A 13271-nucleotide genomic window follows, 5' to 3' on the forward strand; every position below is an offset into this window, starting at 1 on the left:
TAATAGCAGTACTTGAGGCTAGCATCAACACGTCTTCAATTGTGGCTGAAGATTTAGAATAAAGCAGTAACAATTATTTCCATTTTAATGGTTCTTTTATACTCTAAAATATTGACTTTTAATGTACTTAGACAACTCTCTAGAAATATTGTGAAGTTGCTACCTTATATAGTGAATGATTATTCAATGTTTTAAACTCCGTATTATTGAAATTTTTCCAACTAAAGCTTTTCTGACTTCAGTGTAAACATTCTTGTCTTTCTGTATTGGATACATTTCTATTTCATCAATAGTTCATTAAAGGTCTTTTATTTTTCTCGCAGTCTGACAGCAATGCAAGCTTCCTCCGTGCTGCCAGAGCAGGCAACCTGGACAAAGTTGTGGAATATCTGAAGGGGGGCATAGACATCAATACCTGCAATCAGGTAAGAACATGGCAGCTAGCTCTGTGTTGTGCAACGAAGGAACACTCATTACATTCTCAGAGCCCAAGATTATTTTTGTCTTTATTAAAAATACTAAAATATCAGTGACTCAGACTTCTGAAATCCCATTTTTTGCCCCCTTACCAACTTTTCAAGTATCAGATGTTTGTATCTAGAGCTAATGTTGCTGAAAAAGCAGATAGATCAAAAACAACAACTGAATGTCAATTTTGTTTGTGAAATGATTTGGGCCACCTTTAGCTGGAATTTTGACCAAGAATGATGTTTTACTTCTCATTTATCATCTAGTAATCCAGATCTTGGCTTCTTTCCTTCTTGACTATATGCACTTTACTCATGGGAAACTGATTATTACAATTTAGTATACAGAAATAAGAGGATAAAATGTTCTCCTAATTAATTTTAAAATATGGCTCATAATGAGAATAATTTGAAATTATTATTGTAAATGATGTATCCATTCATCATGTCCATTTCATAAGGACTTTAGAGAATATTATACACTTTGGATATTATTTGGTACCAACGTTGACATTTTTGTGCTATTTTTGAGTAAGATTTTTACATCATGAATTAAAGTGTCTAGTGGACTGCAGTATTCACTTCAATGCTAAATGTTGTGTTGTGTGTTGTGTGTATGTGTTTGACAGAGACCTAACTAGGAAGTGAATAATTCTGGCTAATTTTAAGTTAAAAGGAGGTAAATGTCACTACTGGATTCTAAATTATATATAAATTCCTTTTTCTATATCCTGGTATATATTGAACCCAGTTATGTTTACTTTATAGACCACTGAAATTAATAAATCTTTCAAAAACAACTTTTCAGAAACTGAGCCCGGTATCTTATCCTCAAACTTATTGTACTCCCTAATTCCTACCTGCTGATTTCCTCACCAATGTGCCATTCCAACCCAACTGTTTCCCGTTCCTCATCTTTCCCCCTCTCCAGCCCAGCACTCCTCTCTTTGTTCACCTTCTGCATCCAGATTACATGAGCTCGGATCACCTTGTGGTACTTAACAGAGTTGTCATAACAGCCTTCTTACTAGGTTCTGTCTTCAATCTTGTCCACTTTGATCAATTCTCCACATAATGCCTTGAGCGATAAATAAAATAAAAATAAGATTACAACACTTCCTTCCTCCCCAAACTTCTATGGCTACCCTATATGGCTACCAATTCCCAGATCAGTGAGGTGGTTGTTTCAAAATCACCTGCAGGCTTTTGCAAAGGGTACAGGATTTCCCTCCTTCTTCTTCAGAGTCACTGGCATAAAGAGCATTGTCACTGATGTCAATATTTCTCATATTTTAGGGGAGTGTGTCTCTTACCGTGAAAACATGTTGAGAGCTACTTAATGTTGGGAAAGGCATTCTGCTGTGGCCCTGAGCAGTCCTGCAGATACTTTTGGGAATAACAAGAATGAAAGACTTTGGGATTGCTTTTTATCTGGGCTATTTCTCAGGGTGGTGCTCGCAGTGAGCAACCTTGAGGGATTAGGCGATATCTCCCTCTAGCTACAAAGCAGGCCTGTATGAATCCCCCAAGGTCAGTGTTCTTCTTTAACACAACCCACATGTATGGGCATCCATCATTGGTCCTTTGTGTCAACCCTGTTAGATATGGGGGAAGAAAGGGATAGGGAACTGGTATAAGCAGCAGGCTGACACTTGGCTACTGCTTTTGCTCTGAATTACAACGTCCTTTGTTTCTCACCCAGAAGACTTGTGTCTTCTACTAGCATTATGAAACAGTAATGGTTTAGTTTTTAACTCTTTGGTAAGATAAAATCTCAAGAACTTTACATAGTTCTTAACACTGACCTATGGAATAAACCCAAATTACTGTATTCCAATATGTAAAATCTTCGTATGTTGTGTCTACATTCCTCCATCTTATTTTTCATTATGAATCATTTTATCTGATTTTTTTTTGTGTTCTTTTGGACAAATAATTTGAACTTTAGATACATTAGTTACCTTAAGAAAGAAAGAACATTCAAACTCCCATATGGATATATGGACTTATTCTATAAAATACTTATGAAGTTGAATATGAAATATTTATTTATTTATTTTTATTTTATTTTATTTTATTTTTTATTATACTTTAAGTTCTAGGGTTCATGTGCACAACATGCAGGTTTGTTACATATGCATACATGCGCCATGTTGGTGTGCTGCACCCATTAACTCGTCAATTACATTAGGTGTATCTCCTAACGCTATCCCTCGCTCCTCCCCCCACCCCACAACAGGCCCTGGGTGTGTGATATTCCCTTTCCTGTGTCCAAGTGTTCTCATTGTTCAATTCCCAGTTATGAGTGAGAACATGCGGTGTTTGGTTTTTTGTCCTTGAGATAGTTTGCTGAGACTGATGGTTTCCAGCTTCATCCGTGTCCCTACAAAGGACATGAACTCATCCTTTTTTATGGCTGCATAGTATTCCATGGTGTATATGTGCCACATTTTCTTAATCCAGTCTATCATTGATGGACATTTGGGTTGGTTCCAAGTCTTTGCTATTGTGAATAGTGCAGAATATGGAATATTTAATACTTTTCACGTAAACTTAGGTTTCCAGGCTGGAGTGCGGTGGCGTGATCTCGGCTCACTGCAGGCTTCGTCCCCTGGGGTTCACGCCATTCTCCTGCCTCAGCCTCCCGAGTAGCTGGGACTACAGGCGCCCGCCACCACGCCCGGCTAATTTTTTGTATTTTTAGTAGAGACGGGGTTTCACCATGTTAGCCAGGATGGTCTCGATCTCCTGACCTCGTGATCAGCCCGCCTCGGCCTCCCAAAGTGCTGGGATTACAGGCGTGAGCCACCGCGCCCGGCCAAACTTAGGTTTCTTTAAGTAGATTAAATGCACTCCCTAAATGTCAATTTGTTAACTTTCTAAATTTACAATATGCTAGAGAATAGACAATGAAACCGTTAGTTCATTTAGGTAAACTTATCATAAATAACACCAAAAAAGAGAACCTAAGGAAAAGAAAGTTCATTTCAAACCAAGTCTACTTCACACTGAAGTATAACAAATACATTAATTGTATGAAAGGTCTTAGGGTTATTTTGAGAAAGAATAATCTCTCAACAGTAAATACTCAATTCTTATCATATTTATAGACCATCTTAGCTTCTTGAGTTAGCTTTTTCTTATAGTGGCCAGCCATCCACTAACATGTCACTATAAAAGGAAAGAACATTTATTTCTGTGAGAAGGCAACATGATCTCATGAAGCCCACACAAAATTTAGAGCCCACAGGTTCAAATTCAAGTTTCATCTCTACTTTGAAGAAGTCAGCTCACTTTAGAAAGTGATATTTTTCTAACTTGTAAAACAGGATAAAAACAATACATTCAATGCTTATACCCCTGGGTTGCAATTTAAGTTAAATTATGAAATGTAAAAGGAGTTTCTAAGGTACATGTGTTCTAATTACAATTACTGTATATAATTCACCAAGAATTATACAAATTAAAATTGACTTACACTCAAAATATGAGGTTGATTCTCTTCAATTCCCTGACTCGCCAGGTATAAAGTAAATGCAAGGCCAGGTGTGGTGGCTCACACCTGTAATCCTAGCACTTTGGGATTACAGTGGGAGGCTGAGGCAGGAGGATTGCTTGAGCCCAGGAGTTCCAGGCTGCAGTTAGCTATGATCGTGCCACTGTGCTTCAGCCTGAGTGGGTGACAGAGTAAGACCCTGTCTCTTAAAAAAATAAATAAATAAAACAGGCCAGGCGCAGTGGCTCACACCTGTAATCCCAGCACTTTGGGAGGCCAGGAGGTGGGTGGATTGCCTGAGATCAGGAGTTCGAGACCAGTCTGGTCAACATGGTGAAACCCCGTCTCTACTAAAGATACAAAAAAATTAGCCGGGCGTGGCAGCAGGCGCCTGTAATTCCAGCTACTTGGGAGGCTGAGGTGGGGGAATTGCTTGAACTAGGGAAGTGGAGGTTGCAGTGAGCCAAGATTGCGCCACTGCACTCTAGCCTGCGCGATAGAGTGAGACTCCATCTCAAAAAAAAAAAAAAAAAATTCCCCAAAGTAAATGCAGTCTCATGCTGGTTCTGTATTTTTATTAATACTATTCAAGACAGTATATTAATTAAATAAAGATTAGGGAAATACAGTGACTAATGTTACCTGCTTAGCTACTGTGTATTAGACTTTGTGCTGGGGCTTTACATGTGATGTCTTATCAGTCAACTGAGATGAAATATTGTGAGACAGGGATTAGTTCAAGTTTACAAATGTAGAAACTGGGCCCACAGTGGTTAAGTGACATTCCCAGGGCCACATGGATCTGTCTGTGTCCCAAGTCCAAGCTTTTTTCTGCTGCAGGATATCTTTTTGAGTAGCTATTTGGAGCTGCCCTTCAAAGTAATACAGTGGTGATGTCCTTTATCTTAAAGCTCAAAACTTATTTTTAATCTACTACTGCTAATATAAAAATAACTTTATTCATAGGTGGTTACAGGATCTTTTAAGTCAAAGAGCACCACCACCAGGATTTCTACTAAAACTCAAATACAATATAGAACAGGAAATGATTTCTAAATACCCAGGAAAGTAAAAGAGACAACTATTCAGCCAAACTATTGCTATTTCTAAGTATACAATATTCAAAGATAATATGGCATATGAAAGAAGAAAAGAAAATGTATCCTCTAGTTTGCTGCTAAGCCTGAGTTTCTAGGGAGCATTACAATATGTAATGTAGAAACCAGGACTTTCTGTACTCTGTTGCATTTCTCAATGAAAGGCAATCTGAGCTGCACCAGCTTTCCAAAAATATCACATGTGTTGGCGTGCTAAGATTCCTTAAACTGAAATTTGAATCAATGTTTTTTCTTTATAAAATTGGTTTCACAACTACCATGAGAAGTTTAAAATGTAATTCCCAAATACTATTTTGCTTTTAATTATTTAAATGATATGGGGAAAATTCATAAATTTGGCACATGAAAATACTCTAAAAGAATGTCAAGTTTTCATTTTTCTTTTTTAAATGATTACTAATATGGTTAACTTTTATTTTCTTTAAAAGATTACACCAGTCATCTTTTTACCGTATTATCTCTTGTACATTTAGAAGAGAAAATAAATCTTAGCGTTCAATTTATTTCTGAAACTCATAAAGACTTACTTTCTTACCTATTCCCTATTTAGTAATTCTGCATAACTTAATACTGTTACAAACAAGATTAACATTCGGACATTAAAAATAAACTGTATAGTATTTTAATAAAAGTTTGTAGCCAGTTACAAGTCAATAAAAACCCCAGTAGTTTCAGAAAGTTTCATCATGTATACAATTTATTAGTTTCACTATAGTGACTTCAAAATGAAAGACTATCACTTAGCATTTATTTAATACAATCCTGGATATGATACCAGTGATTAACAGGTCTTAAAATGCCCTGAATTTTGGCCTTGGCCTTTTACCATTGGAGTTTAAAGGTGCAAAATTATCAGTTAAATCCTGTGTTTCCTTTTTTATAAACAGAAGGCAAGGTCGAAGCACCATTTTCAAAACAATATTAATGTTCCTCAAATAGCAGACCTTTAGCAACAAGAAGATACACTCAGCAATGACTTTAGCATATGCTCACACAGTATGACTCAGACCATGAAGCATATTTGGAAGTCACATTAACAATGTGGATGCTGGAAACCAAATTCTAGTTTTCCCCACTTACCAGCTGAGTGACCCTCGGCAGTCAGCTTCTGCAGGCCTGAGTTTTCTCAACTGGAGTGAGCATAACAACACTGAAGTTTTAGGGTTGTTTTGATGATTAAGTGAAATGTTTGCAAAATGCTTGGCAGAGCAAGTACTCAATAAATACTTGTGAAAATGATGCTTATTATAATAATGTAATTTTTTTATATTGATTCTCAACCTAAGCTTTAGCAAAAGTAGCACTGATTCGCACAAGCAGGACAGAACATAAAAGGTATTGCCATAGCCTGTATCACCAAATAGAAAAAAATTATGATTAGTAGCAATTTGGTAAAGTTACTATTTATCTGGGTTGCATTAAACTGAAATATTTATCTGGAACTAAAATCTTTTTCACAAATGCCATTTGGGTTCATCTGGTTTAGACTTCTCTTTAAAAATACTAAAAACAATTCTATTAGCCTGGGACCTTATAAAAACAACAAAAATGAATAGGGGAGAATTAAATTCATGGAATTAATGGAACATGGAATGAGCTATATGCAGTTTTCTAACCAGTTAAATTAGGCACAAATATATATGCAAAAATATAACTATATAGCTAAATGCTTATTATTGACCCCTCATTTAGAAGAAGCAAAAGGTGATGTTTCCATCTGGTTCTGGTTATGTGGTTTTGGATTCTGTGCCATCCTGTAATCTCTTTCGATGCATCAGTGCTGGTCCTTGCTCTATACTGGGTAGTGCTGATTCAGGTTAGAATTGAGTAACACCTGTCTAATATTTTGAGTACTTAGAAATTTTAGTTTACTTGTTGATATTTGCTCAATGTAAAGTAAATCCAGTAGAGAGTTTTCATCAACTACTTGCCCCCAGCTCTAAAAACTTCATTCTGTTTACAATTAGGCAGGTTTATGAAGATTTCGAAATGTGACTCTTCTTTCATTTTAAAAATGCTGGGAGTAGCTTCATGCAAATTATTTCTATGACTGTCTTATTAAGTACTCTCCGCAGTGGTTTAGATCGGAACAGAACACTTTATAATCTGGAAATTCTCTTGAACACTCTCTTTCTATGGCTAAGCGACATGGATTTTAATATCTGACTCCAAGCAGCCACTCCACTCTTCCTAGCTCATCTTAGATAGTAGAATCGCAGCATTTTTTTCTGCCGGTCTGAACTCAGGCACGCTATTTGTTCATCTACTTACTCAAACATGTATTGTGTGTTTACTCAGTGGCAGGCTCTGTCCTAGGTGCTGGGGATGGAGCAGTGCAGAGAGACAAAAACTCTGCTCTCATAAAGCTCACAATCTACAACCTGAGAGAAGAAAAGGCAGTAAGTGATATGGAGGAAAATACAGCAGGGGAGAAGGAGAGAGGGGTGGAATGGGAGCGGTGTGTCACTTTAGAGGGGATGGACAGAAGAAAACCTAAAGAAATTGAGCAAGGAGGCCGTGCATGCTGTGGAGGGAGCACACTTTAGAAGAAGGCTTGACAGGTGAGAGAACCGCACAGAAGGAGCATGCTGGCATGTTCAAGGGCCAGCAAGGAAGCAAGCCTGCCTGGAGTAGAATGAGGGAGGGGAAGCGTAGGAGGAGGTTGGGGAGAGCAGAAAGCAGCATTGGGTCATGTAAGGCCTTGTGGGCTATTTTAAGGACTTTGGCTTTAATTCCGAATGAGCAGAGAAGTGATTAGAGGGTTTTTAGTGGAAGAGTGACATACGCTGACGAGTCTTAATAGTAAGGCTCAGGCTGAAAGGGAACAAGGGCAGAAGCAGGGAACACTTTTGTGATACTTTAGGTGAGAAGTGAGGTGTTTTACAGTAGAGCAACAGGCAGGAGAATTGGTGAGACGTGGCTGGATTCTAGACACATTTCAAAAATACAGCTGATTTTGTTGATGGAGTTAATGTAGGATGAAGGCAAAAGAGGAATTAGGCATGAGGGTTGAGGTCACAATGGAAAGAATGAGAGCTGAAGTTTTATTAACTGAGATGGGGAAGACTGTGTGAGGAGCAGGTTTGAGGGAATACTCAGCAGGTCAGTTTTGAACATGTTAAGTTTGATTTGTTTGTGTGATATCCAAGATATTCAGTAGGCAGTTGGATATATGAATTTTCTAGGGTCCAGAAAAAAGATTTTGGCCTGAAGTGTACATTTTGGCATACCCAGTGTATAGATAGTATTCAAAACCGTGTTACTGCATGAGGTCACCAAAAGAGAGAGAGTTTATGAAAAATAGAATAGGTTCAGGGGCTTGGCCCTGGAGTACTACAATATTTAGAGGTCAGGAAGATGAGAAGCCATCAAGGAGAATGGGAAAGAGTGTCCAGGGATGTAGGAGGAAAACCTGAAGTTGTGATTTCTTAGAAGCCAAGTGAAAACATTATTTTCAGATGGATGAAATGATAAACTCTGTAAAATGCTGTTGATCCAATAAGCTGAGGAACTGAACAACAGCCTTAGTAATGTGATGGAAACTGGTGACTTGATCATAGCAATTTTGGTGGAGTGGAGGGGTAAAAGCTGGACTGGAGCTCATTCAATGGATGACGGGCAGACCAAGGACTGCTTCAAGGGCTCTTTCTATAAAAGAAAGAAGAGAATAAGAAAAGTAGCTGGAAGAGGAAGTGGAATCAAGAAGGCTTTCTTTGTAATAGGAAAGAAATAATAGCTTTGTTTTGTTGATGGAAAAATATCAACAGGGAAGGAAAAATAAATAATTTGAGAGAGAGATGGGAGAATTACTGGATGGTGTCCTTGAGTTGATGAGAAGTGGGGATGGAGCTTGGTGCACAAGTGGAGGGACTGGCTTTTGCTAGAATCGTGGATAGTTCAGGAAAAGGAAAGATGTATGGGCAGAGGAGCAGGAAGTGGTGTGGGTGCCGTGCTGGGAGCTGGTTGTGGGGTGGAAGTTCTAATTGCTTCTGTTTTTTTCAGCGAAATATGATTCTAGGTTATCAGCTGAGAGTAAAGATAGGAGAGGAGGGGATGGAGGTGGAGGAGGGAGAAGGTGTGAAATAATAATCCAGGAGAGTGGGAGAGATAGCAGTTGAGGGTAAGACAGTATGATTGGCAGGCAGCATGAAGGGTCTGCTTGAGCATCATGATCAGGAATTTAAAGTGAGTGGAGGTGGCATGTGTGTGTGTTCTTCTGCAGCTACATTCAGACATGGGATCACATGGAGAGTTATATATAGCCAGGAATGTGGTTTAGCTAAACACATATGGCAGAACTAGAGAAACACAAGGGAACTGAGGATGCATATAAGGTAATGAATAAAATAACGATAAAGACTATGCATAGGATTCATGCCAAGTGAGGAGATAAGTGGGCACCGTGAAAAGATGAATAGGCTCTAACTATTAAGGATTGAAGGATTTCTGGAGTTGGATGAGTAGATTAGCAAGAGAGTAAGTGCTGTTCAGAGGGTTGGATGCTTAAAATTGAAATACTAGAGGAAGTTTATAATTATTGGAAAGGAAAATGTCTAGAATGTGACCATGGAAGTGAGCGGATAAGGTAGAGAAAAGAAGGAATCATTGAGGAATTCAAGAACCTGAACACCTGGAGTTTTGGAAGAGTCACCTGTGTATATGTAGGAGAAAGTGGCAGTGAGCTAGAAGCTAAAATCTTCAAGGGACAAGGAATGGCATCAAGAGGATACAGGCTGATGACATCAGGAGGTTTAAAAAGAGGAGGAAGAAAAATAGTTTAAAAGAGTTTAAAAGAGTGGTGAGAAGCAAGAAGCAAAATAGAGCTCCCCCAAGTTCGGTGATTAATAGGAATACGAGATCCAAAGACACTGCTTCCCTGAAGTCTACTCAAGTGAAGTATGCATCACTTGAGTAGACTTCAGGGAAGCAGTGTCTTTGGATTCTAGTTAGAGCAAGAAGCTTAAAAGGGATATTTAGAGAACAGATTTAGCCCAGAGTATTTGCTAATGACTACACCCATGCATTCTAAAGGATCAGTGTGGGAGTTTTGGGAAATGGGAAGTGATAGGAGACAGAATCAGAAAAGGAGGTATACAGAAGTGGAGAGGGATAAGATTTGCAGGGATGATGGTGGAGTTGGTGACTATCATAAACAGGGATAGAGGACATGATAAGTTTAGCCCAGACAGTCCCAAGCAGATAGCAATTGTGACTTTGTGGAAACTATCTGGAGAAAGAAGTGGAGGGAATCTCTCCAGGAGTCTGTAGAGTTCAGGAGTCCCATCTTGATTTTTGCTGTTGGAGACAAAGAGAGGAAAGATCTTAATGCAAATATGCACTCACTGCAATTCTTCCAGTATGCACTACAAACACAGGTGGTGTGTGAGATGAGGTGAAGCTGCCATTCCTGCCTAGTCATTTTTCTCCTGGTTATTTTCTTTGTGCCTTTAAGAATCTTCCAGCCCTTTTGCAGTAGCTGAGATTTTGCCAACTGATGTTCTCATATTCTGTTTTATGGCTGATCATTAATTCTTTTATTATTATTATTATTATACTTTAAGTTCTGTGATACATGTGCAGAACGTGCAGGTTTGTTATATAGGTATACACTTGCCATGGTGGTTTGCTGCACCCATCAACCCATCATCTACATTAGGTATTTCTCCTAATGCTGTCCCTCCCCTAGCCTCCCACTCCCCAACAGGCCCCGGTGTGTGATGTTTCCCTCCGTGTGCCCATGTATTCTCATTGTTCAGCTCCCACTTATGAGTGAGATGCAGTGTTTGGTTGTCTGTTCCTGTGTTAATTTGCTGGGAATGATGGTTTCCAGCTTCGTCCATGTCCCTGCAAAGGACATGAACTCATCCTTTTTTATGGCTGCATAGTATTCCATGGTGTATATGTGCCACATTTTCTTTATCCCGTCTATCATTGATAGGCATTTGGGTTGGTTCCAAGTCTTTGCTATTGTGAATAGTGCTGCAATGAACACACATGTGCATGTGTCTTTATAGTAGAATGATTTATAATCCTTTGGGTGTATACCCAGTAATGGGATTGCTGGGTCAAATGGTTTGGTTCTAGATCTGGTTCTAGATCCTTGAGGAATTGCCACTCTGTCTTCCACAATGGTTGAGCTAATTTACACTCCCACCAATACTGTAAAAGTGCTCCTATTTCTCCAAATCCTCTCCAGCATCTGTTGTTTCCTGACTTTTTAGTGATAGCCATTCTAACTGGTGTGAGATGGTATCTCATTGTGGTTTTGATTTGCATTTCTTTAATGACCAGTGATAATAAGCTTTTTTTCATATGTTTGTTGGCCACATAAATGTCTTCTTTTGAGAAGTGTCTGTTCATATCCTTTGCCCACTTTTTGATGGCATTGTTTTTTTCTTGTAAATTTGTTTAAGTTTCTTGTAGATTCTGGATATTATCCTTTTGTCAGATGAACAGATTGCAAATTATTTCCCCATTCTGTAGGTTGCCTATTTACTCTGATGAAAGTTTCTTTCACTGTGCAGAAGCTCTTTAGTTTAATTAGATCCCATTTGTCAATTTTGGCTGTTGTTGGCATTGCTTTTAGTGTTTTAGTCATGAAGTCTTTGTCCATGCCTATGTCCTGAATGGTATTGCCTAGGTTTTCTTCTAGGGTTCTTATGGTTTTAGGTCTTACATTTAAATTTTTAATCCATCTTGAGTTGATTTTTGATAAGGTGTAAGGAAGGGGTTCAGTTTCAGTTTTCTGCATATGGCTAGCCAGTTTTCCCCACACCATGTATTAAATAGGGAAGGCACAGCTTGAGCAGACTTAAACGTTCCTGCCTGCCAGCTCTGAAGAGAGCAGTGGATCTCCCAGCACAGCACTCGAGCTCTGCTAAGGGACAGACTGCCTCCTCAAGTGGGTCCCTGACTCCCATGCCTCTTGACTGGGAGACACCTTACAGCAGGAGCTGACAGACACCTCATACAGGAGAGCTCTGGCTGGCATCTGGCAGGTGCCCCTCTGGGATGAAACTTCCAGAGGAAGGAACAGGCAGGAATCTTTGCTGTTCTGCAGCCTCTGCTGGTGATACCCAGGCAAACGATCTGGAGTAGACCTCCAGCAAATTCCAGCAGACCTGCAGCAGAGGGGCCTGACTGTTAGAAGGAAAACTAACAAACAGAAAGGAATAGCATCAACATCAACAAAAAGGACGTCCACACAAAAACCCCATTTGAAGGTCAGCAACATCAAAGACCAAAGGTAGGTAAATACACGAAGATGAAGAAAAACCAGGGCAAAAAGGCTGAAAAAAAGATTCTAAACAGTTTTTTCTTCCCTCTGTAGAAGTTTCCCAGTACTTTCCCACCCATCCCTCCCTCCCCTCCTGGATATCTTCCCGTGTCTCTCTCTCTCTCTCTCTCTCTCTCTTCTCTCTCTCTCTCTCTCTCCCTCACTCACTCTCTATCTCTGTATTGATGATTGTAAAGAAGTAAACAAATCCTATGATCTCTAGTCTTTTCAAGGCCTCTTCTCTTATGGAATACATAGAAGAAAAGAAAAAGGAAACCTTATTTTAAAATGGCAACTTCTTCAAATTGGGAATTCTCTTCTTAGAAAAAAAGGAATTTGTGTAGAAGAGAATTCGTCAGAATTAAGCAGTGGTTGTCAGATTGATGTGGGCATGATCAGAGCAACTGTCTGTGAATGAAGCTGCATATGTGCAAGTGTAGAGCCTCATGTGGCAGTTGTTTTTAGTCCCCATACTCAGTTCATTTTTTACCTTTTTCCTCAGAAATGAAAGGTCTTCAGGGTAGGATAAAAGAGACCAAGATGCAGATGAGCAAGAGCCCATAAAGGCACACCTTGGGGCATAAGGACACTTCCCCATTCCACACCCCACCCCACCCCCTAAACTGTCATTACTTAAAAAAAAAAAAGAAAGCTCTTTATGCAGGCTGGAGTGGGCAGAGGGGACAGTTTGAAATAAATCTCTGCACCTCAGTGGGTATGCAGTCATTGCTGCAGTCAGTGAAGGCTGTTACTGCCCTTGGGAAAAAGAGAATTTGCAATGTGATATTTCCTTTGAGGAATAAAGGAAGACAGCAACAGTGCCTATGGGAGTTAGAGGAGGGAAGCAGGCAGAGAAAACCATTTATCAGAAAGTTGAGAATATAGTTTCTCATCCAAAGTAACCTCAGAAGTTT

The 13271-nt window shown here is 39.2% G+C and overlaps 1 protein-coding gene across 66 annotated transcripts in view; it reads left to right on the forward strand.

Annotated features, from left to right (window-relative positions):
* Window positions 1-13271, forward strand: part of ANK2 (ankyrin 2) — a 678115-nt gene that overhangs the window by 468471 nt on the left and 196373 nt on the right. For all 66 annotated transcript variants that reach the window (NM_001386186.2, NM_001386148.2, NM_001354269.3 and 63 more), the window contains one exon: window positions 324-425. In NM_001386186.2, coding sequence (NP_001373115.1) covers window positions 324-425 — 102 coding nt within the window. The remainder of the gene's footprint in view (window positions 1-323; window positions 426-13271) is intronic.

This window comes from Homo sapiens, chromosome 4 (genome assembly GCF_000001405.40).
Source record: "Homo sapiens chromosome 4, GRCh38.p14 Primary Assembly".
NCBI lineage: Eukaryota > Metazoa > Chordata > Mammalia > Primates > Hominidae > Homo > Homo sapiens.